Here is a 26,493-nt window from a genome sequence, read left to right on the forward strand (position 1 = left end):
GATCATACATCCCAGTTTGTCTGGGACAGTCCTGATTTACATCTGTTGTCCTGGTGAAATTACTAATGCTCCCTTTTCATCTCAATGTCCTGATTTGGATGAATACAATTACATGGTCACCTTAGTAATAAGGGCAATGAAAATAAGTGTGGCATTATTAAAAAAAAGAGCATCTATATTTTAAAAGAATTGATCATTTCTAGGCTCAGATAAAAAACAAAATCCCAACGTTAGTGGGAACGTATACATGCAAGTTAAATTACTACCAGTAATTGTGAAAAACAAGACAATAGAAAATGTTCCAGAACACTGAGCTTGGGCAAAAGGCTAAATTTAAGGCGTAAAAGCTGGATTCCAGAAGCCACAGACCAGGAAATTTACCTTTGAATCCTGGAAAATTTCTGAAATGGACACTTAGTGTTTTAAATCAGAAAGCCGTGCTCATTCTGAAGTCAGAATTGATCACTCAGAATTGATGACCTGTTCTATAATCCTTGCTGTGTGCATAGCCAGGAATGCCATGTTCTATTCCCCTTCCTAGGCAGTAGCTAGGGCAAGAAAACAAGGCATCAGGATTCTAATATTGATCTAATCCTATGTAGGCAAGTTTATACAGGGCACCAGGACAGTAGGCATGTGGTTTCTTCCCTGGTAGCCATGGCAATAAGTAAAACACATGGGACATGTTGTTATTACCTGAGAGGACTAGAACTGTGAGAAAAAAACAGGTCAGCAATACCTAACAATACTTTTATTACAGTAAGATAATAGAATAATGACAGTCTTTATTAATAACAATTCTCCTGGAGAAGAGCCTGATGTGCTTAGGAAAGTATAGCTCTTTCTATTCTGAGCAAGAAAGCACTTCCTCTAGGAAGACTCCCAATTCCCAAGGCTGTACACACCTACCTCCATGTTCTCTGCGACTAACTCACATCCTAGCACCTACAACATTCCATTATTTACACATCTATTTTGCTCCTTCACTCAACTTTCAGCTCCTTGATGGTAGGTACAGTCTCCTTACTGTTAGATCTGTAGCCTGGAAACAGTAGATAATGCTTGCTGAATGGCAGATGAATGGTGTTTTGAAAACCACAACAGGGATATTTTGTCAACTCAAGTCTGTTGCTCCGTGAGGCCAAGCTAGGGGTCAGGTTTACCTCACAGCAAATGTGGAGTTCAGAAATTTTCCAGCACCTCTGCAGGACTCTGCATTACCCAAGAGGGTATTCAGATGTCATTCTGATAGTTATGTATCTCTGGGTTGGTGCGCACTGTAAGATTTTAATCTATTCTAGACAAAAACTCTTAGGACCCCAAAGCCGGATTCAGATACAGGATTAAAGGTGACTAGATTCACCTAAACACGATTTGTGATGGACAGAATCATCAGATAATTGAGATTTGCAGATTAACCAGTAGAGCTCATTCCACTTACGGCGATGCTTTCTTGTTCTTTATTCATTTGCTCACATACTTATTATTTAATTTGGCCTTTTTTTTTTTTTCCATCAGAGATTTCCTGAGTACTTTCAGTGTCACCAAGTGCTGGGATTACAAAGATAGAGGAGTTCGTGCTTTCAGGGCATTCACACAGTGATAAGGAAGAGAGATACGTACACTTCTAACTCTGAATTAGACTGGGTACTCTAAAATCCATAAAGGACTGTGGGATCACAGGGAGTGACAAGTGTTATTAGGCACTAAGGATGAATAGGAGGAATTTACTAAGCAGGGTTGGGGGAAGGGGTCTTTTAGAGAAGCAATTTGTAAGCTGCACTGTTCCTCTTCTGGTGACTCCAAAACCTATTGTTTAAGGGCAGGCCAGCCTTTCCCCAGTGTGTTCTTCAAGAGGGAACTTGGATGCTTGCTTCAATGAAAGGCTGGGTTTGAGTGATCACATGGATTCATATAGCTTCCCATTCTGATCAGTACAATTAAATTACCTGGGAAATAACTTTAAATCTGAAAAATCTAGCAACTGTGGTCATCTAGATTCTGAGTAAAGGGTTTACAATATGATGTTATTTATAACAAAGTGAATTAGTAAAAAGTCTCCAATATAGAAATATTTTATAAATATAATTTTATTACTTGGAAATACATACAAAAATTCAAACACAGCTAAAAAACAGTTGCTAAGCAGAGGTCCTATCCAACCTGGTTTAATGAACATAAAGTTATTATCAGCATAAAACTTGAGTCCTGAAACAACTTACTGTCTTCAGGGTCTTCAAATAATGGGTTTAAAAACAGATAACTGTTTTGTTCTTTACAGCTATTTAAATCTTTCCCCCAAATACAGAGTACTAACATTTGTTTGGTTCATGAGGTTTTATTTTAGAAAAATAGCTAAAGCTATTAGCTAATGATTTGAAAACTGCAGTACGTTTGCTCATTTCCAGTCTTCTGTCACCTTACATTCTCCATGGTTTCTCAAAAATTCCCAACAGTTGTTAATAGAAAGCATTTGCAACCTCCAGCAGCTCTCTAGGATACAGAAGTGTGGGTCTAACAACCTTGAAATCATTTAAGGTGACAACAATTTTTTTTTTTTTACTTTTCATTTTTGCAGTTTCATGTCATTTTATTTTGGTCCAGCCATATCTCCTTGTAGGAGAAAAAAAACTGAGTTATTCTGTTCTTCCTGATTGTCAATCCATTACACTACTTTATCCATTCCTTTTTGCCCTCAGGTTTAAAAAAGAAAAAAAAAAAAGCCTTCTTGACAACCTTAGCATTTTCTATAAATTTAAGCTTATTGTGAGCTTGAACATTTCAAACACTTCTATATTTCACTCTCCTCTCTGTAGCTTTTGTCATGCCAGTTTTCCCTTCTTTTGCAAATGATCTTTGACAACCTGGCTTCATCAGAGAGCTCTGAGATGCCTTAGATGCCCATTCTCTATCTTATTGGCTAGGTTCTTTTAATTTAAAGAAAAAAATAATTTGTAGAATGTCATCTAAAAGTTTCCATCCTTTTATGGTCCCCCTCACAATTTGAAAAACTCGAAGAGGTAGCTGGCTAAGAAGCAGAAAGGCCCCCTTTTGGTTCTGGGGACTCAACCGTGTTCTTCAGTCTGGTCTTGCATCCTCTCTTCCCAGCTGAGAAGCCTGAGGCCCCGAGTAGATCAGATAAACCGGGGAAGACTTCTACCTGAAATGGTCTGATTCACGGTTCAGAGGGGGAACAAGTCTAAATTTGAGACGTGCTTCCACACTATTCTTTCTCAAACTTTAAAGTGAACATACTTCCTTGCTTGCAATCTGTTGATGGATCTCTTCTGCCTACAATATATACTACAAACCCCTTAGTCTGGCACACAAGGCCCTGTGTGACCAGCTCCCATTTCTTTTTCTAGCTTCCCCAACCCCAAATGCCTTACTAAAAGAACTTTTTTCTCTAATGCATTAGGCTGTTTCATACCTTTGCTCAGATTATTCCCTCTCAGCCAGATCCCTACCTCCTGAGAACACCTATTCATCTTTTTAAAGCTCAAAATAAAAATAATGTCCTCAAATCTCTGCAATTGAGTGCTCCTTTATGCCCTCTTTAACCTTTATTTTGTCTTTACATCTATAACACGTTACAGTCATTGTTTACATATCCATATGCCTGACTAGGCTGTGAACAACTCTAGGGCAGAAATAATGCTTTATTCAGCTTTACATCTTTCATCATATACTACAGCACCAAAAAACTTGCACTGAATAAATGTCAGACTGAAATCTGCTTCCCTGTGACTTCCTCAAATCCTAGTTCAAGCCCTGGGATCCAGATAGACAGTGCCAGCATTTCAAATAATATCTAAAGACTGTCCCAGTCCCAAGTCTTCTCCAAGCAAAACAGCCTTAACATCCATGTTTTAAAAACCTTTTTATCCACGCTGTCCTTTCATCCAAGCACTTGAGCTTAGTGACTTTTTATAAAATTAGGCACCAAGTCCTAATGAGTGCTGAGCCCCTCAGGGTAAAAAAGTAACCAAGGTCACTTTGCTTCTCATTCATTAAATAAACGCCTGATGGTGACTACTAAGTGTCCAGAAATTCTAGGCACTAGTGATACAGACATTAAATTTAGTTTCCTTGTCCTCAGTGACTTCACAGTCCAGAGAAGACAATGATAGTGGCAGGGCTAGAGCCTAAGCCCAATATGCATGAATGCTAAGTAATACTTCCTCAAATCAACTCCCTTTTTAACAGCCACTTTATCATCTTAGAGCATACTGAACACGTACTCCTTGAGGCCTTTTTCATAATAACTACTCTCAAGCCAGCTCTCTGCAACCTAACCCTTGAATTGTATCTTTTGTTGATTATTTTTTCAAACCCAGTTACAGGATTACTATATTATTCCAGTTGATTGCATGTGCTGCTCTTGGTCCTGTGTGCTACCTTGTTGAATGTGAATTTCCATGCTGACCCTCACAGATCTGGTCCATAATCTAACCTGAAGACCATAACTCTAACTTCATTTAACTTATTGGTTAAAAGCAATGAGGATAACAGAACTAAGGCCCAACCTCTAGAAAGCTCCATCCTACTTTCTTATTCACAATTTGATACAATACATTAAATATACCCCTTATCACCTTATTAACATTTATTATTTTGAATAAAACTATGGAAACTTTGGATAAATCATGCATAACGAGGAATTATAAGCTGGTTTTTAAAAATAACAATCATTAAATATCCATTATAAATATTAATTTTATTTTAAAAGAATTGGAAGATGTTACATATATTACATACTACATATAATGGCACATGTCAGCCTTTTAAGCTTAAAAATAATCTTTTCCCAAACTGGGATTGATTTATACCCAAGTATAAAATGACCCTTGGCCTATAGCACCAACCCAGGCCCAGAGGAAAAGCCAGTTTTGAACCTGTCTGTCCTCTGGCACTGGGCTTCCTGATATGACACTGAGGGTCCTCTCCCTCTGGTTTTATTCCCTGGCAGTATTGAGGCCTGGCACAGGGACCCATCTTACTGTATGCTGCAGGCCTGGGGAAATCAGGGAATCTAGAGGGGGTAGGGTCCTCTAACCATTTTATAATGAAAAAAAGTTAAATATGTTCCTTATTCTGTGTTTTTGATTTATACAACTATAACAAGACTCTACAAGACAGAAGGAGCTTAAAATTACTGAAATACAATTTCTCTGCTAGTTCTTCTCTTTGGAAATTGAAGTCTCATAATAGGAGGAGCCTTAAAAGTCATCTAGTTCTGATTGGTAGCCTGTTCCACTGTCACCTCCCTGTCCCAGATTTAGGTATAATTCATTCAAAGTTTTAAATGCCATCCATATGCCACATTTTTAGACAAACACAGAAGCTTAATAATACTTTTCATTTTCTTTTTCTTGTTTCATAAGGACAATTCCTGCCAAATGTTCTGTCTTATGACTCTCCTCCACTTCAAAGTATGTTTAAGTTACACATTAAGAATCCAAAAAAATACCACTATGGAATTTTCATAAGCAATATCCAACCAATCAGTAAAACACAGTACACAGTGTGAAAACTTTAATTTATTCCCCTCCCAAGTATCCAGAATGTATATCTCTTTAGCTTTGAGAAATGAGATACTGAAAATACCAACAGAATTGATCATATGAAAGAAAGAAAAGCACATACGACACAGGAAACATCCCTAAGTCCTCCCTACCCTAGTAGTGCAAGTTAATGGTAAGTTTCTGGCAATGTCACCTTTCATTTGATTTATAAAACTTTTACAGGACAGATTTAAAGTGGAGATAGGCCTCTGATTTTTATTTTTAAATCCTAGCAGGTTTTTTTTTTTTAAGAGGCTACTATATTAAATGACAATGCATTTTGAGTCGGGGAGAAAAAAATTAAAAACCCAAAATTTCTTTCTGTTTATTCAAAATAAAAATACACATAGAATTATGAAAATATAGGTTTACTATTTCCACCACGTAGGTTGATGCTGCTGTTGAAAGGCTTACAAACTGTTTTTCAAGTTTTTAAAGCTCATCTCGATCCCTCAATAGAGTATACCTATATTCACTGGGTGCTAGTTTCTGGAAGGAGCTCTCAGGTGGACTGCTTGCTACATCTTGGGCTTGCTACAAAAGAAAGAATAAAACATTTTTATACCAATATAGTTTATGGTGCTATAATATTTTAATAAGTGTATTCGATGAATAGTAGTTCCCCTATAATTATTTGCTTATTAATCAATAAAAGCAACTGTGTGCCAAAGCAAGATATTTAAATGTGAAATCTTGCTTTCCTCATTTCAAATGCTCTTATTGAGATTCTCCAGGGCAGGGTTGCCACAGGGCCATTAACTGTGGGCTTGTTTTACATTTGCTGAGGTGTGGTGGAAGGGACCAAAATACCTGACACCTGGGTGCTTTCCTAGACTAGTCGACAGAGACAGCACAACCCTAGGTTGGCCCAAACCCTTCCCTTCTGCACGTGACTGCTAAGAGAATTAATGGCATCCACTCTGTAGATATTATCTTAGTTATCAATTACCAGGATACCAGAAATTATTACAACTTAGTTGAAATAAAGAGGAAAGCAAACACTTCAATGCTGAAAGAAATTAATTTCTGTAGTATTTTACTTGTGTACCAAGAGCAGACAAAAATACACAGTGAAACGAGCTATTTCCAAGAATTTTAAAGAAAAGGCATAATCCCAGCACTTTGGGAGGCCGAGGCGGGTGGATCATGAGGTCAGGAGATCGAGACCATCCTGGCTAACAAGGTGAAACCCCGTCTCTACTAAAAATACAAAAAATTAGCCGGGCGCGGTGGCGGGCGCCTGTAGTCCCAGCTACTCGGGAGGCTGAGGCAGGAGAATGGCGTGAACCCGGGAAGCGGAGCTTGCAGTGAGCCGAGATTGCGCCACTGCAGTCCGCAGTCCGACCTGGGCGACAGAGCGAGACTCCGTCTCAAAAAAAAAAAAAAAAAAAAAAAAGAAAAGGCAGTGCAGTCTATCCTCTATTTCCAAATTGTGACCTCAAGAGCAGGCCTGATTGTTCTCCTCATTTTAATATCCCCTGTAGTTGACATAGGCACACAGTGCATATATTACATACTATATGTAATGGCACATTAATTCTAACAGGAAGCAATGTGTCTACAAACTTATCATTTGACTTTATCATGTTCCTCTTTCCCAATACATTTTTAATTTTTTCAGTGAGATATATGTTTGGATTAAGCTGAAATAAGCTGAAATTAATTATATTACTATAAAACAAACATTTATTTGGTGCCCTCTGTTAGTACACAAAGATGAACAAATGTAAGTTCACTGTCTAATGAGGAAATTGAAACAAATCAGGATAATACAATAACGGTAAATGACATCTTTTCCTAATCTGATAAAATACTATGCAGGCCTTCTTTTCTGAGGAAAATAATCACCTTTGGGTTATAGCCAACAAGTTTGCCTCCTATAGTTGTTAATTATCAAAAATCTGACCTAATTTTTAAAGGAAAAAGCATGTTGTTGGATTCCTATAGGGAATTCTTGCCTCTGAACCTAATCTCACTCTTAAATAAGGTAAAGAAAAACTCAGTTTTTATTTTCCTTTTATAAATAGAGGTTTTATAGGCAAAATAATGGATTTAAGTTCTGAGCATATGAAATAGAGGGTTTTGGTACATATCTTCCCTCTCGGTATCATGGTAATAGGCATGATAGAAATCATAATCTATCAAAATGCAAACTTAGGGCTGTTTAGTACAGTAGGAACATAGAAATTACTTGTAACAGAAGTTACAAGGTGGAAACAGTAAAATTCTCAGGTAAAAAAAAACATAAAAGAACATAAAATTTTGATAAAATAGTTGTCAAGTATTCTAAATCACAAATGGGAAAGCTGCATTAAACTGTAAGGTTTTGAGCATTATGAATAGTGTATTTGTGAAGGCTCTTAGAATGATTTAGCAAGAATAACAAATCATTACTTTCTTTATAGTGTGGTCAATCTTCCAGCCACAGAGGAAGGCTTGGATAGTTATTGGAATCCACTGATTTCTTCACTGATTTATCTGCTTTAGATTCCTATTTCCTATTCCCATTTGAAGCCAACTATATTTAACTGTTATAGCCATATTCCACAGAGGTCACATCAGAACACTTTTATACAATCAAGAAACTACGTTATAATATTCTTTCAACTTTTCTGAAGACCTAAAGCTTTAAAAATTAATTTAAAAGGTTAATTTCTACTCAGAATTTCTCTACACAAATATTCAGAAGCTGAAGCTCAAGCTGATGCAAGAACTTCAGACCCTCTTTGAGGCTAACTGAAAAAGGGAAAAAAAGAGTTCTCATTGAAAAATAAACAGGAGTCCTACCTCTCCTGGGGCTGTATCAGTTGGGTCAGGTCCATGATGGAATTCTCTGTGCAGTTTTCCAGAATGTAAGTCAAATACGAATTGCTTGAGTTTTCCAGGAATTCTAAAACCAGAGTCAAATAAAATGTAAACTGTTAAAATGGACTTATCTCTATTTTACCAACTTCACAGTATTAAAAAAACTTTTGCTAACCTATAGTCCCACCATCCTACCACAACTATTGCAGGCCAGGTATGTGTGAAACATTTTTACACAGTTGTAAGCATAGTATCCAGATACTCAGTTTTGTATTCTAATTCCTGTACTTGTTTCATAGAAAAATTTCCATGCTTATCATTAAGGCACATTATAGTCTATCAAGATGCTGTACCCCAAATTAACCATTTTTTATTAATGGGCACTTTATATATTTTCCTAAATTACATATATGTAACTAAAAAAAAACTTTGTTCTGCAACATCACACTAAAAATAACAGGGCTCAAGGGAAAAATAGTTAGGGGCTAACCACTGAAAACTATGCAGCTTTGTAACCAAAGCACTACTGCGAACCTATAACAAAAATATTAGCACCATCCAATGTCCACCACCATTTAAACCTAGTGTCAACCAGGTGATCCTCTGCAGCCTTAACGTAAAGCTTGTGAGCCTACTTTTGAGGTTCGGGTCCTTAAGGGCCTTCACTAGACAGTGAAACCAATTTCATCAAATTAACCTGAACCAGGGCATAGCATTTTCATGTTTTTTTTCCTAAACATAGAGGCAAATGTCTTCATAATGTCTTCAAACCACACATGCAACTTCATTGGATAGCTTAATATTGTGAAAAGCAAAGCACTTCTCAAGATCATTAAACTAGCTTTTATTTACACTAACAAGGGGACTTCCCCAGGATTTTCAGTTGTTTTGTTTTGGAGATCTTCATACACCCTTGCGGCATTCTCTTTACGAAAAAGCTTATTCTGATGGCTTCAGGATATTCTGAGGATAATGATATATAAACTGACACAACTTCACTTTCTATGGACACTATTCTCTTAATTACCAATCATGTATGAGCAAATCTGCAGCACAGAAACAATGCACTGTAGCAGACACCACCATACTGAGCTAAACAAATTTATGTACCAGGCTTTCTTCTTTGTAATATTTCCTTGAGTTATATACAATAAAGTAGGATTACTGGGTTAACAAATAAGAGCTTTTGACCAAGTGTGAGCAAATTATACCTATAAAACATCAGTTGGTTTTTACTATCTGTCTACCTGTTTGTTCTTTAAAGTCTTGCCAAGCATGTCTTTTTTAAATTAAAATTGGTTTTGCTAATTTGATAAGTAAAAGATACCTGCATTTTAATTTACATTTCTTCACAAATTAAGCATTTTTTTCATTGCTTGTCTGAATTTATATCTCTGCTCATACGAATTGTCTGCCTTCTGAGATCTTGGTGCTTTAAAAAATTAATTATATATTTTAAATAGAAACACTTTTTCATTCTGTTACAAGAATTAAAATGCAGGTCCATATACACTTTAATTCCTTGGGTAGAATTGATTGACTTTTAAAATCATTATTTTTTTGGTAGCAAACAATAGCTGGCTTGTAGTTAATATTACCAGTTTCTTTTACTTTTTATCCTCTCTTGAGGTCCCGGAAGTGCTGTTTCTTCCCTTCAATAACTCCCACTGAGATGTACCAACCAATAACTTCATTGTATACCCATTTTGGCTCCCCACTAGCTCCAATGCAACAGAGACCAGCAGGTGCCAAATGCACAGTTTACAAATACAAATGACTGTCAGGTAGCTGTATTGACAGAATGCCTCTGAAAGGTTCTCTGGTGCTGAAGTAATTGCACATGCACCAGAGATAAACATTGAGAGGAGATCAATTTAAATTTAATCTGACATCATCTACTGTCACCCACAGCAAGTGCTAAAATATATCCATTCAATCCATAGCATTGCAAATGGGGTCTATAATGTTTAAGATAAAGCCTCTGCTAGTTTGTTTTATGAGGGCCAAAGATTATCACAACTAATACAGTATGAACTGCTTCTGCTAGTCAAGAAATAATTTATGATTAAATCTTAAATGTGAGAAATTCATGAAAACACTCAAAACACATTTTTCCAAGCTGATTTTTTTCCACTGTCAACAGATGAAAGAATGTGTGCAAAAGGAAAAGACGAGAGATAGGATGAATCTGAACTGATGCAGTAGAAAAATAGATTATAAAAGAGCTCTTATCTAGCTTGTGGCCAGAAACTATCCATCATTATTAAGAAGTAACATTCAGTGAATCAACACTAAATTGTCAAGAAAATAGACTACGTGGTAATCTCCTAAACAGGAAAATAAATGGGCCCTTGCCATAATAAATAAAATTATATATATCACGCTTTAGGGCAAAATTGTTCTAATTAGAACACCTAAGTGTTTCCCATCCTCCAGTTACTTTTTTGTTTATTTACAATTCTTTATTTTTAGGTGACACAAAATTTTGACATAGTGAAATGCACAAATGTTAAGTGTATGAACAAACTTTGACAAATGAATACAAGGTAATACGTATTTTTATTTCTTAAAATTTACATACAGCAGAATTCACTTTTTTAGGCTTAAGTTTTATGAGTTTTAACATGTGCATAGCATTTTGCTACCAGCTTCTCAAATCAGGTACAGAACAATTCCAACACCCTTTTTAAGTCAGACTCTTCCATTTCCCATAACCCCTGGCAACTGTTGACCTTCTATGTTGTCATTTCTAGAAAATCATACAACATGTAATTATAAGAATGGCTTTTTTTTTTCACTTGGCATTATTGCATTTGGGATTCAGCCATTTTTGTATGTATAAAAAGATCTGTTCCTGTATCCATTGCTGAACAGTATTTCCCATTGAGTAGATACACAATTAGTTTATCCATTCAAGGACATTCAAGTTCTTTCCAGATTTTGGTGATTATGAACAATACTGCTACAAACATTTGTGCACAAGTTTTTGTGAACTTTGTCTAGAATAAATGCCAGGTTATATGGTAGGTATATGTCTTACTTTTGAAGAAACTGCCAAACTGTTTTCTAGAGTGACTGTATCATGTTGTAATCCACCAGCAATGTATGAAACTTCCAGTTGTTCCACATCCTCATGAATACCTTGTATTATCAGTATTTTAATTTAGGCATTCTAAAAAATATATACTAATGATGTTGAGCACCCTTCACATGTGTTTATCTGCCATCCCTATATCTTCTTTACATTCTATCAGTATCTTTCACAGAACAAAAGTTTTTAATTTGATGAAGACCAATTTATAAATGATTTCCTTTTATGGATAGTGCTTTTGATACTCTAAGAACTCTCTGTGAAACCCCAGGTCATAAAGAGTTTCTCCTATGTTCGCTTCTAAGAGTTTTCTAGTTTTATCTTACATATAGGTACATGATAAATTCTAAGTTAATTTTTCATAGAAGGAAATTCTTTTTTGGTATGAGGACATTCAGTTAGTCTAGCACCATCTCTTGAAAAGACTATTCTTTCTCCACTGAATTGCCTTAGCACCTTTAAAAAAATCTATTACTGGGATTACCCTTCCAAGATGGCCGAATAGGAAGAGCTCCAATCTGCAGCTCCCAGTGTGATCAACGCAGAAGACGGGTGATTTCTGCATTTCAAACTGAGGTACCTGGTTCATCTCACTGGGACTGGTTGGACAGTGGATGCAGCCCATGGAGGGCGAGCCGAAGCAGGGTGGGGCATTGCCTCACCCAGGAAGCACAAGGGATTGGGGGATTTACCTTTCCTAGCCAAGGGAAGCCATGACAGACTGTACCGGAAAAAACAGGACATTCCCACCCAAATACTGCGCTTTTCCAATGATCTTAGCAAACGGCACACCAGGAGATTATATCCCACACCTGGCTCAGTGGCTCCCACGCCCACAGAGCCTTGCTCACTGCTAGCTAGCGCAGCAGTCCGAGATGGAACTGCGAGGTGGCAGCCTGGCTGGAGGAGGGGTGCCTGCCATTGCTGAGGCTTGACTAGGTAAACAAAGCGGCCAGGAATCTCGAACTGGGTGGAGCCCACCGCAGCTCAACAAGGCCTGCTGGCCTCTGTAGACACCACCTCTGGGGGCAGGGCATAGCTGAATAAAAGGCAGCAGAAACTTCTGCAGACTTAAACGTCCTTGTCTGACAGCTCTGAAGAGAGCAGTGGTTCTCCCAGCATGTTTGAGCTCTGTGAACAGGCAGACTGCCTCCTCAAGTGGGTCCCTGACCCCCGTGTAGCCTAACTGGGAGACACCTCCCAGTAGGAGCCGACTGACACCTCATACAGCTGGGTGCCCCTCTGAGACGAAGCTTCCAGAGAAAGGATTAGGCAGCAATAATTGCCCTCCTGCAATATTTGCTGTTGTGATACCCAGGCAAACAGGGTCTGGAGTGGACCTCCAGCAAACTCCAACAGACTTGCAGGTGAGGGACCTGACTGTTAGTAGGAAAACTAACAAACAGAAAGGAATAGCACCAACATCAACAAAAAGGACATTCACACAAAAACCCCATCTGTAGGTCACCATCATCAAAGGCCAAAAGTAGATAAAACCACAAAGATGGGGAGAAACCAGAGCAGAAAAGCTGAAAATTCTGAAAACCAAAGCACCTCTTCTCCTCCAAAGGATCACAGCTCCTCGCCAGCAATGGAACAAAGCAGGAAAGTTGACAGAAGTAGGCTTCAGAAGGTCGGTAATAACAAACTTCTCCAAGTTAAAGGAGGATGTTCGAACCCATCACAAGGAAGCCGAAAACCTTGAAAAAAGATGAAAGGCTAACTAGAATAAACAGTGTAGAGAAGACTTTAAATGACCGGATGGAGCTGAAAACCATGGCACGAGAACTATGTGACACATGCACAAGCTACAGTAGCCGATTCGATCCAGTGGAAGAAAGGGTATCAGTGATTGAAGATCAAATGAATGAAATAAAGTGTGAAGGTTAGAGAAAAAAGAGTAAAAAGAGACAAACAAAGCCTCCAAGAAATATGAGACTACGTGAAAAGACCAAATCTACATTTGACTGGTGTACCTGAAAGTGATGGGGAGAATGGAACCAGGCTGGAAAACACTCTTCAGGATATTATCCAGGAGAACTTCCCAAACCTAGCAAGGCAGGCCAACATTCAAATTCAGGAAATACAGAGAACACCACAAAGATACTCCTCGACAAGAGCAACCCCAAGACACATAATTGTCAGATTCACCAAAGTTGAAGGAAAAAATGTTAAGGGCAGCCAGAGAGAAAGGTCAGGTTACCCACAAAGGGAAGCCCATCAGACTAACAGCGGATATCTCGGCAGAAACTCTGCAAGCCAGAAGAGAGTAGGGGCCAATATTCAACATTCTCAAAGAAAACAATTTTCAACACAGAATTTCATATCCAGCCAAACTAAGCTTCATAAGTGAAGGAGAAATAAAATCCTTTACAGACAAGCAAATGCTGAGAGATTTTGTCACCACCAGGCCTGCCTTACAAGAGCTCCTGAAGGAAGTACTAAACATGGAAAGGAACAACCAGTACCAGCCACTGCAAAAACATGCCAAAGTGTAAAGACCATTGATGCTAGGAAGAAACTGCATCAACTAATGAGCAAAATAACCAGCTAACATCATAATGACAGGATCAAATTCACACCTAACAATATTAACCTTAAACGTAAATGGGCTAAATGCCCCAATTAAAAGACACAGACTGGCAAATTGGATAAAGAGTCAAGACCCAACAGTGTGCTGTATTCAGGAGACCCATCTCACGTGCAGAGACACACATAGGCTCAAAATAAAGGGATGGAGGAAGATCTACCAAGAAAATGGAAAGCAAAAAAAAAGCAGGGGTTGCAATCCTAATCTCTGACAAAACAGACTTTAAACCAACAAAGATCAAAAGAGACAAAGAAGGCCATTACATAATGGTAAAGGGATCAAATCAACAAGAAGAGCTAACTATCCTAAATACATATGCACCCAATACGGGAGCATCCAGATTCATAAAGCAAGTCCTTAGAGACCTACAAAGAGACTTAGACTCCCACACAATAATAATGGGAGGCTTTAACACCCCACTGTCAATATTAGACAGATCAATGAGATACAAGGTTAACATGGATATCCAGCACTTGAACTCAGCTCCACACCAAGCTGACCTAATAGACATCTACAGAACTCTCCACCCCAAATCAACAGAATATACATTCTTCTCAGCACCACATCACACTTATTCCAAAACTGACCACATAGTTGGAAGTAAAGCACTCCTCAGCAAATATAAAAGAACAGAAATCACAGCAAACTGTCTCTCAGACCACAGTGCAATTAAATTAGAACTCAGGATTAAGAAATTCACTCAAAACCACACAACTAAATGGAAACTTAACAACCTGCTCCTGAATGACTACTGGGTAAATCACAAAATGAAGGCAGAAATAAAGATGTTCTTTGAAGCCAATGAGAACAAAGACAGTGTACCAGGGTCTCTGGGAAACATTTAAAGCAGTCCGTAGAGGGAAATTTATAGCACTAAATGCCCATAAAAGAAAGCAGGAAAGATCTAAAATTTATACCCTACCATCACAATTAAAATAACTAGAGAAGCAAGAGCAAACTAATTCAAAAGCTAGCAGAAGGCAAGAAATAACTAAGATCAGAGCAGAAATGGAGGAGATAGAGACACAAAAACCCCTTCAAAAAAATCAATGAATCCAGGAGCTGGTTTTTTGAAAAGATCAACAAAATTGATAGACTGCTAGCAAGACTAATAAAGAAGAAAAGAGAGAAGAATCAAATAGATGCAATAAAAAAATGATAAAGGGGATATCACCACCGATCCCACAGAAATACAAACTAGCATCAGAGAATACTATAAACACCTCTATGCAAATAAACTAGAAAATCTAGAAGAAATGGATAAATTCCTGGATGCATACACCCTCCCAAGGCTAAACCAGGAAGACGTTGAATCCCTGAATAGACCAATAACAGGCTCTGAAATTGAGGCAATAATTAACAGGCTACCAACCAAAAAAAGTCCAGGACCAGACGGATTCACAGCCGACTTCTACCAGAGGTACAAAGAGCAGCTGGTACCATTCCTTCTGAAACTATTCCAATCAATAGAAAAAGAGAGAATCCTCCCTAACTCATTTTATGAGGCCAGCATCATCCTGATACCAAAGCCTGGCAGAGACACAACAAAAAAAGAGAATTTAGACCAGTAACCCTGATGAACATGGATGCAAAAATCCTCAATAAAACACTGGTAAACCAAATCCAGCAGCACATTAAAAAGCTTATCCACCAAGATCAAGTGGGCTTCATCCCTGGGATGCAAGGCTGGTTCAACATATGCAAATCAATAAACGTAATCCATCACATAAACAGAACCAAAGACAAAAACCACAGGATTATCTCAATAGATGCAGAAAAGGCCTTTGACAAAATTCAACAGCCCTTCATGCTACAAACTCTCAATAAACTAGGTATTGATGGAACGTATCTCTAAATAATAAGAGCTATTTATGACAAACCCACAGCCAATATCATACTGAATGGGCAAAAACTGGAAGCATTCCCTTTGAAAACTGGCACAAGACAGGGATGCCCTCTCTCACCACTCCTATTCAACATAGTGTTGGAAGTTCTGGCCACGGCAATCAGGCAGGAGAAAGAAATAAAGGGTATTCAATTAGGAAAAGAGGAAGTCAAACTGTCCCTGTTTACAGATGACATGATTATATATTTAGAAAACCCCATTGTCTCAGTCCAAAATCTCCTTAAGCTGATAAGCAACTTCAGCAAAGTCTTGGGATACAAAATCAATGTGCAAAAATCACAAGCATTCTTATACACCAGTAACAGACAGCCAGCCAAATCATGAGTGAACTCCCATTCACAACTGCTACAAAGAGAATAAAATACCTAGGAATCCAATTTACAAGGGATGTGAAGGACCTCTTCAAGGAGAACTACAAACCACTGCTCAACGAATTAAAAGAGGACGCAAACAAATGGAAGAACATTCCATGCTCGTGGATAGGAAGAATCAATATCATAAAAATGGCCATACTGCCCAAGGTAATTTATAGATTCAATGCCATCCCCATCAAGCTACCAGTGACTTTCTTCACAGAATTGGAAACATTACTTTAAAATTCATATGGAACCAAAAAAGAGCCCCATTGCCAATTCAATCCTAAGCAAAAGGAAGAAAGCTGGAGGCATCACGCTACCTGACTTCAAACTATACTACAAGGCTACAGTAACCAAAACAGCATGGTACTGGTACCAAAACAGAGAGATAGACCAATGGAACAGAACAGAGGCCTCAGAAATAACACCATACATCTACAACCATCTGATCTTTGACAAACCTGACAAACACAAGAAATGGGGAAAGGATTCCCTATTTAATAAATGGTGCTGGGAAAACTGGCTAGCCATATATAGAAAGCTGAAACTGGATCCCTTCCTTACACCATATACAAAAATTAATTCAAGATGGATTAAAGACTTAAATGTTAGACCTAAAACCATAAAAACCCTAGAAGAAAACCTAGGCAATACCATTCAGGACATAGGCATGGGCAAGGACTTTATGGCTCAAACACCAAAAGCAATGGCAACAAAAGCCAAAATTGACAAATGGGATCTAATTAAACTAAAGAGCTTCTGCACAGCAAAAGAAACTACCATCAGAGTGAACAGGCAACCTTAAGAATGGGAGAAAATTTTTCCAATCTACCCATCTGACAAAGGGGTAATAACCAGAATCTACAAAGAACTTAAACAAATTTACAAGAAAAAACCCCATCAAAAAGTGGGCAAAGGATATGAACAGACAGGTCTCAAAAGAAGGTATTTATGCAGCCAACAGGCACATGAAAAAATGCTCATCATCACTGGCCATCAGAGAAATGCAAATCAAAACCACAATGAGATGCCATCTCACACCAGTTAGAATGGCAATCATTAAGTCAGGAAACAACAGGTGCTGGAGAGGATGTGGAGAAATAGGAACGCTTTTACACTGTTGGTGGGAGTGTAAACTAGTTCAACCATTGTGGAAGACAGTGTGGCAATTCCTCCAGGATCTAGAACTAGAAATACCATTTGACCCAGCCATCCCATTACTGGGTATATACCCAAAGCATTATAAATCATGCTATTATAAAGACACATGCACACATATGTTAATCGCGGCACTATTCACAATAGCAAAGACTTGGAACCAAACAAAGTGTCCATCAGTGATAGACTGGATTAAGAAAATGTGGCACATATACACCGTGGAATACTATGCAGCCACAAAAAAAGATGAGTTCATGTCCTTTGTAGGGATATGGATGAAGCTGGAAACCATCATTCTGAGCAAACTATCCCAACAACAGAAAACCAAACACTGCATGTTCTCACTCACAGGTGGGAAATGAACAATGACAACACTTGGACATGGGGCAGGGAACATCACACACCGGGGCCTGGTGTGGGGTGAGGGGAGCGGGGAGGGATAGCATTAGGAGAAATACCTAACGTAAATGACGAGTTAATGGGTGCAGCAAACCAACATGGCATACATATACATAAGTAACAAACCTGCACGTTGTGCACATGTACCCTAGAACTTAAAAAAGTACAATTAAAAAAAAAATCTATTACCATACTTGTATGTCTATTTCTAGACTCTCTCTCTTCCATGGCTCTATGTACCTACTCTTTCACCTATACTACACTGTATTAATTACCTTAGATTTATATTGTGTCTTAAAACTAGGTAATGTGAGTCCTCCAACTTTGTTTCTTTTTCAAAACAGTTTTAGCTATTCTGGTTTAACCTTTCCATATAAATTTTAGAATCTGGTTGTCTATATCTACAATGAATCTAGCTGAGATTTTGACTGGGATCACATTAAATTTATAGGTCAATTTGACTGTATCGAGTGTTGTAATCCATCAACACAGTATACTTCCTCGTTTATTTTGGTTGTCTTGGATTTCCTTCAGCAGCATTTTGTAACTTTCAACATACAGATTCTGCACATGTTTTGTTTGATTTATACCTAGGTAGTTTTTTTTTCCCCCTCCTTTTGGAGCTACTATAAATGGAACTTAAAAAAAAAAATCCTGGTTTCCAATTGTTCATTGTCTTTGTATAGAAATAAAAGTGATGTTTTAAAAAGTTAACCTGTATACTGCTCAAATCACTTAGTAGTTCTAGGAGCTTTTTAATAATTTGTTGGTAATTTCTATACAGATAATCATGTTATATACAAAGAAAGTTAGTTTTATTTATTCCTTTCAGGTCTGAATGCCTTTCATTTATTTTCTTGTTCTGCTAGGATTTCCAGTAAAATACTAAAAGAAGTGGTGAGATTGAACATCTTTGCCTAGTTCTCTATCATACAGGAAAAGCATTTGATCCTTTATCATTAGATATGACATTAGCTGTAGGTCCTTTATAGATGCCCTTTGAAAGACTGAAGTTTCCTTTTTTAAAAATCTCCCCAATCCCCATAACCCCCAGCCTCTGGTAACAACCATTCTACTCTCCACCTCTATGAGTTCAACTTTTAATATTCTGCATATGAGTGAGATCATGCAGTATTTGTCTTTCTGTGCTTGGCTTCTTATTCCACTTAACATACTGTTCACTCCTAGTTCATTCATGTTGTTACAAATGACAGGATCTCATTCTTTTTTAAGGCTAAATAGTATCCCATTGTGTATATATAGCACATTTTCTTTATCCATTCATCTGTAGACAGACACTTGGATTGATTCCGTATCTTGCCTATTGTGAATAATGCTGCAATGAACATAGGAGTGCAGATATTTCTTCAACAGATTGATTTCCTATCTTTTGGATAGATACCCAGTAGTGGGATTGCTGGATCATAGGGTAGTTCTTTTTTTTTTTTTTTTTTTTTATTTTGAGTAAACTCCATACTGTTTTCCATAATGACTATACTAATCTACATTTCCACCAACAGTGTGCAAGGGTTCCCTTTTTTCACACATCCTCACCACCGCTTTTGTCTCTTTTATAATAGTCATCTTCTATGGTTTGCATATGGTTGGTTTGTCTCCACCAAACCTCATTTTGAAATTTTATCCCCAACATGGAGGTGCTGGTAGGTGGTGCCTAATGAGAGGTATTTGGGTCACGGAGGCAGATCCCTCATGAATGGCTTGGTGCCACCCTCATGGTAGTTGAGTTCTAGCTCTAGTGAGATAGGATTAGTTTTGCTGGGATTGAATTAGATCCTGTGAGAGTGAGTTGTTACAAAGCCAGGACGCCCCTCAGCTTTGGTCCCTCTTTGCATGTGCCCACTTCCACTTTTACTTTCTCTGCCACGTTTTAAGGCAGCATAAAAGCCCTCACCAGAAGCTACACAGATGCAGGTGTCATGCTTCTTGTACAGCCTGTAGAACCATAAGCTAAATAAACCTCTTTTCTTTATAAATTACCCAGCCTCAGGTATTCCTTTATAGCAAGACAAAACAAAGACACCATTATTCTTTTTTTTCCCCCATTGGTTATTGGGGTACAGGTGGTATTTGGTTACATTAGTAAGTTCTTTAGTGGTGACTTGTGAGATTTTGGTGCACCCATCACCAGAGCAGTATACACTACACCCTATTTGTAGTCTTTTATCCCTCACCCACCTCCCACCCTTCCTCACAAGTCCCCAAAGTCCATTGTTTTATTCTTAAGCCTTTGTGTCCTCATAGCTTAGCTCCCACATATCAGTAAGAACATACAATGTTTGGTTTTCCATTCCTGAGTTGCTTCACTTAGAATAATAGTCTCCAATCTCATCCAGATCACTGTAAATGCTGTTCATTCCTTTTTATGGCTGAGCAGTATTCCATCGTGTATGTGTATATATATACATATATATATATATGTATATATATACACATACATATACACACACACATGTATATGTACACATACACACGTATGTATATGTGTGTGTATATATATATATATATGCACATATACACACACCACAGTTTATCGACTTGTTGACTGATGGGCATTTGGGTTGGTTCCATGATCTTGCAATTGTGAATTGTGCTGCTATAAACATGCGTGCGAAGTATCTTTTTCATATAATGACTTCCTTTCCTCTGGGTAGATACCCAGTAGCGGGATTGCTGTATCAAATGGTAGTTCTACTTTCAGTTCTTAAAGGAATCTCCACACTGTTTTCCACAGCGGCTGTACTAGTCTACATTCCCACCAGCAGTGTTGCCTGATCACCACATCCACGCCAACATCTACTTTTTAAAATTTTTTTATTATGGCCATTCTTGCAGAAATAAGGTGGTATTGCATTGTAGTTTTTATTTGCATTTCCCTGATGATCATTAGTGATGTTTAGCATTTTTTTAACAAAATTTTTATTTAATAAATGGTTAAAATCGCAGTGCCAAAAATACATTAACATTTAACAATTTCACTGAAAGGAAAAAACTGTAGAATGCACAGTTTCAGAAAGCTATTTTAAGTTATTTACAAATAAAGTGTCTAAAACGCAAAGGCAGGCTCTATATGCTTTACCAAATTTATCCCTTCCCGAACAAAATTTCTGTTATTTGGGCAAATCCTTAAACCATGGTTTAAACCGTAATGGTTACAAACCACAAATGCATCCATCCAAAGACTGTGAAACCATTTTCATCCGGTCAGTGGCAAAACTGTTGAAAGGGCAATAGTTGAAGCTATTGGGTTTTATACAGTGTGAACTGTTGATATATATTCCTACCAGGACTAAAACACAGCACACTTTGCAGGCATGGCTGACTCACAAAGGTTGTAACAAACAAGAACTGCTCTTTACTCGACACCACAGCTCAGAGGCCACCGAGAAGCACAAGCGACTGACAGCTCCTCTGCTTACAAAAGAATGAAACCCAAAGTGGGTGTCGTTCTCACAGCACTGAAAGTGCTTCAGGACTTGCACTGATCCAATACTAACTTTCTTCCCTATTTTACACACATTTTTCTACTGTCCAATGGAAGTCATTTTCTGTTTTGGCTAAACAACAAATACTAGTGTATAACAGGAATGGTTAAAATCCGTGAGAATTCTGCTTAATTTAAGACATGATCACTACTTTCTTTAGAATGGTTTCTGTGTGTTTCTATGTCACCCTCTGTATTTTTAGCTTCCAGTTTCCTGGTAAGGAGTAAGTTCTCCTTCCCAGTCACACTCGGGGTCATTTACACATTTCTGGGATACCCTCGCTCGTCCACGGAGGGCTGGTGCACGCAGTGACTCATTCTGCCTCTTCCCTGTTCTCAGGATCTGTCCCCGAACCTTTTGCCTTGCAGTTCCTCCCGCTTCCGCCACACGCGAGCTCCCGGATCATACAGCTGCAAGGCCGGCCGGTCCTCGTTTGCCAGTCACTCCTTTCTGGGTGCCGGACCGTCATCACACCTCTGCACTCTTCCTGGTCTCTCCACGGCCTCCCTCGGAGCCCCGCTGTCCCGGCTCCCCCATCTCTGCTAATCTTCACGCCTTCTGGAAAGCCAGTCAGGCTCGTGGTGAGCTCTGTGCCTCCTGCCGTCATCCACATGCTGTCTTTGTGCTTCAGATTCTTTTTCTTGAGATCTCTCCACATCCCTGTGCTCTTTGTCACTGCTGCTGTGTGACCTTAATCCTTACTTCTCTGCAATTTTCTTCGGTTTATCTCATTTTTTGCATCTCTTTTCTTTTTTCCTCTTCCCGCAAACGTTTCTTTTCTCTCTCCTCCTCCGTTCTTCTCGCTTCTCTTCTCGAATTCTCTGCTTTTCTAATTTTCTATTTTTAATATATTCCAAAATAGGTGTAGTTCTTCTAGCAATGAGCTCTCTTGTCTTCGCCTCCATCTCCCCCAGCAGTCTCAGGGTTGGCACTGGTCTTCTCTTCCTCCACACAGTAGGTTTCTAAAAAGTTTTTATATTCTGGATCTCAGGTCGGCGGCAAAGAACTGGAAGTAGTCGTGCGTGGGCAGCGGGCGCAGCTGCTCCTTGGTGAGGCCCGGGGCAGGAGGCGGATGACCGCCTGCAGGGAGCGCACGGCCGTTCCCACAGCGGCGGGGCGTGGACACGGCGCACCTGAGGCACAGTGTACCGCGCTGGGAGGCCAGGGCTCCGCCCCCCGACCCTGTCCCCCGCCCCTCCCCCTCCGCTCAAGGCCGTCCTCTCGATGTTGATCATTTTTTCATATGTTTGTTGGCCATTTGTGTATCTTTTGAGAACTGTCTATTCATGTCCTTAGCCCACTTTTTGATGAGATTATTTGTTTTTTTCTTACTGATTTAAGTTCATTGTCGATTCTGGATGTTAGTCCTTTGTCAGACGTATAGATTGTGAAGATTTTCTCCCACTCCATGGGTTGTCAAAGACACCATTCTAATATCTTTGATGATTAGTGATGTTGAGCACTTTTTCATATACCTATTGGCCGCTTGTGTGTCTTATTTTGAGAAATGTTTATTCAGATGCCTTACCCATTTTCAATCAGGTTGTTTTCTTACTATTGATTTGTTTGGATTCTTTATATATTTTAAGTATTAACCCCTCATCAGATGTATGGTTTGCAAATCCTTTTTCCCATTCTGTAGGTTGTTTTTTTCACTTTGTAGATTTCCTTCACTGTGCAGAAACTTTTTAGTTTGACGTAATCCAATTTTTCTATTTTTGCTTTTATTGCCTGTGCTTTTGGGGTCATATCCAAAAATTTGTGGCCCACACTAATGTCATGAAGCTTTCCCTGTTTTCTTCAGTACTCTTAAAATTTCAGATCTTATGTTAATGTCTTTAATCTATTTTGAGATGATATTTGTATACGGGGCGAGATGAGGGTCTAATTTCATTCTTCTGCATGTAGATATCCAGTTTCCCCCCGCTTTTTCCAGCACCATTTATTGAAGAGACTCTCTTTTCTCTCTCTTTTTGGTGCTGGGAAAAGTGCACCTTTTTTGCACCATCGTCAAAAATCAATTGACCATAACCAGGGTCTCTAGTTTGCTAGGATTTTGTTGAGGACTTTTGCATCTATGTTTATCAAGGATATTACCCTGTAATTTTCTTTTCTTGTAGTGTCCTAGTCTGACTTTGAATGTGTTTAAGAGTGTTCTCCCAGGCCGGTGCAGTGGCTCATGTCTCTAATCCCAGTGCTTTGGAAGGCCGTAAGTGGGAGGATCACTTCAGGCCAGGCCAGGAGCTTGAAACCAGCCTGGAAAACAGCAAGAATCCATCTCTATAAAAAGTAAAAAAAAAATTAGGTGGGCATGGTGGCACATGCCTGTAGTCCCACCTACTCGGGAGGCTTGAGGTGGGATTACTTGAGCCCAGGAATTTGAGGCTGCAGTGAGTTATGATTGCTCCACTGCACGCCAGCCTGAGTGATAAAGCAAGATCCTGTATCAAAAAAAAAAAAAAAAAAACTTTCTCCCTTCTTCAATTTTTTGGTAGTTTTAGAAAGAATGGTCATCAGGTCCTGGGCTTTTCTTTGATGGTAGACTTTTCATTACTGATTCAATCTCTTATTTGTTATTGGTTGCTATTGGTCTGTTTAGATTTTCTGTTTCATGATTCCACCTTGGTAGATTGTATGTGCCTAGTATTTTCTTCTACATTATTAATTTGTTGACATAATTATTCATAGTAGCCTCTTATTCTTTTGTATTTCTGTAGTATCAGTTGTAATGTCTCCTCTTTCATTTCTTATTTTTTGAGACTTCTCTCTTTAATTCTAGCTAAAAGTTTTAAAATTTTATCTTTTTAAAAAACCAGCTATAGTTTTGTTGCTCTTTTCTATTGTTTTTCTAATCTCAATTTCATTTATTTCTTCTGATCTTTATTATTTTCTTCCTTCTACTAAATTTGGGCTTGGTTTGTTCTTTTTCTAGTTCCTTGAGATGTAATGTTAGGTTGAGATCTTTCTTGTTTTCTGATGTAGGTGTTTCTTGCTATAAAACTTCCTTCCTAAAACTATTTTTGCTGCTTCCCATAAGTTTTGTTTGGTATGTTGTATTTCCATTTCCATTTTTTAAAAGATAATTTAAAATTTCCCTTTTAAATTCTTCTTTGCTCCACTGGTTGTTCAGTAACATGTTTGATTTCTAGGTATTTGTGAATTTTCCAATTTACTCCCAGTTATTGATTTCTAGCTTCATACCATTGTGGTCAGAAAAGATATTTGATACAATTTTAATCTTCTTAAATTTGGTAAGACTTGTTTGTGGCCTAACATATGATCTATCCTGAAGAATGTTCCATGGGCACTTGAGAAGAATGTGTATCTTGCTTCAGTTGAATAGAATGTTCTATATAAGTATGTTAGGTCCCTTTGAGCTAAAACTATTTAAGTCCAAAATTTCCCTATTTTTCTGTCTGGATGATGTGGCCCTTGCTGAAAAAGTAGGGTATTGAAGTCCCCTACTATTACTGTATTATAGTCTCCTTTCAGATCTATTAATATTTTCTTTATATATTTTGGTGTTCCAATGTTGCATGCAGATATATTTGTAATTATTATATCCTCTTGCTGAATTGATCTCTTTATATTTACATAATGACCTTGCTTTACAGTTTTTGACTTAAATGTTATATAATTATAGCTACCCTGCCCTCTTTTGGTTTCCATATGTCCCGAATATCTGTTTACCTCCCTTCACTTTTAGTCTACCTGTGTCCCTTATAGGTGAAGCGAATCTCTTGTAGGCAGTTTATAGTTGGGTATTGGCTTTTTATCCATTCAGCCAGTCTCTGTCTTTTGACTGGAGAATTTAAGACATTTACATTCAAATTAATTATTGATGGGTAAAGACTACTGCCATTTTGTTAATTGTTCACTGGTTGTTTTGTAGATCCTTTGTTGCTTTCTTCCTCTCTTCTTGTCTTCCTTTGTGATTAGGTGATTTTCTCTAGTGGTAGGCTTTATTCCTTAATTTTTATCTTTCGTGTATTTACTAAAGTTTTTTGCTTTGTGGTTACCATGAGATTTACGTAAAATATAATTATAATAGGGTTTTTAAAATTTTTATTTTATTTTGTACATTTCTTCACTATGTCCTATGCTCATAACAGGCTATTTTAAGCTGATAAAAACTTTATTCACATAAAAAAAAAAACTACACTTTTACTCTACCCTCCTCACATTTTAAATTTCTGGTGTCATAATTTACATCTTTTTATATTGTGTATCCCTAAAATTATTGTAGCTATTATTATTTTAATAGTTCTGTCTTTTATCCTTCATACCAAAGCTATAAGTGATTTATATACCACCATTACAGAATTAGAGTATTCTGAATTTGACTGTATACTTACTTTCACCAGTGAGTTTTATACTTTCACGTTTTCATGTTAGTACTTACTGTCCTTTTCTTTCAGCCTGAAGAACTCCCTTTTAGCATTCTTTTTAAGACAGGTCTGATGGTAATGAACTCCCTCAGCTTTTGTTCATCTGGGAAAGTCTTTAGCTCTCATTTCTGAAGGACAGCTTTGCCAGGTATTAATATAATATTGCTGGTTGGCAGTTTTCTTCCTTAAAGACTTTGAACATATCATCCCACTCTCTCCTGGTCTATAAGGATTCTGATGAGAAAACTGCTGCTAGCTGTACTGGAACTCCCCTTTATATGTTATTTGCTCTTCTCTTGCTGCTTTCAGAATCTTCTCTTGCTGCTTTCATAATCTTCTCTTGCTGCTTTCATAATCTTCTCTTGCTGCTTTCAGAATCTTCCCTGTGTCCCTGATTTTCAACAGTTTATGTGTTGGCGTAGTCTTTGGACTAAATCTGATTGGAGTTCTTTGACTTTCCTGTACCTAGATACTTATACCTTTCCTCAGATTTGCAAAGCTTTTTTTATTTTAAATAAGCTTTCTACCCCTTTATTTCTCCTTTCTCCTTCATTTACTCCTATAACTTGAATATTTACTCTTTTGGTGCTGTCCCATTAATTCCATAAACTTTCTTCATTCTTTTTTTCTTCTGTATGTTTTCAAATAACCTGTATGTTCAGGTTTAAATTCTTTCTTCTAATTGTTCAATTCTGTTGGTGATGCTATTACATTTTCTTTTCATTCATTGTGT

The 26,493-nt window shown here is 38.0% G+C and overlaps 1 protein-coding gene and 1 pseudogene across 1 annotated transcript in view; both read right to left on the reverse strand.

Moving 5' to 3' along the window:
• Window positions 1-2,569: 2,569 nt before the first annotated feature.
• ERP44 (endoplasmic reticulum protein 44) overlaps window positions 2,570-26,493 on the reverse strand; it is a 119,816-nt gene continuing 95,892 nt past the window's right edge. The window contains exons 11-12 of the mRNA NM_015051.3: window positions 8,352-8,454; window positions 2,570-6,098 (exon numbers count right to left, since the gene is read on the reverse strand). Of these exons, the coding sequence (NP_055866.1) occupies window positions 5,997-6,098; window positions 8,352-8,454 (205 nt within the window). The 3' untranslated portion in view covers window positions 2,570-5,996. The remainder of the gene's footprint in view (window positions 6,099-8,351; window positions 8,455-26,493) is intronic.
• Window positions 21,389-22,572, reverse strand: UPF3AP3 (UPF3A pseudogene 3; annotated as a pseudogene).

Source organism: Homo sapiens, chromosome 9, assembly GCF_000001405.40.
Source record: "Homo sapiens chromosome 9, GRCh38.p14 Primary Assembly".
NCBI lineage: Eukaryota > Metazoa > Chordata > Mammalia > Primates > Hominidae > Homo > Homo sapiens.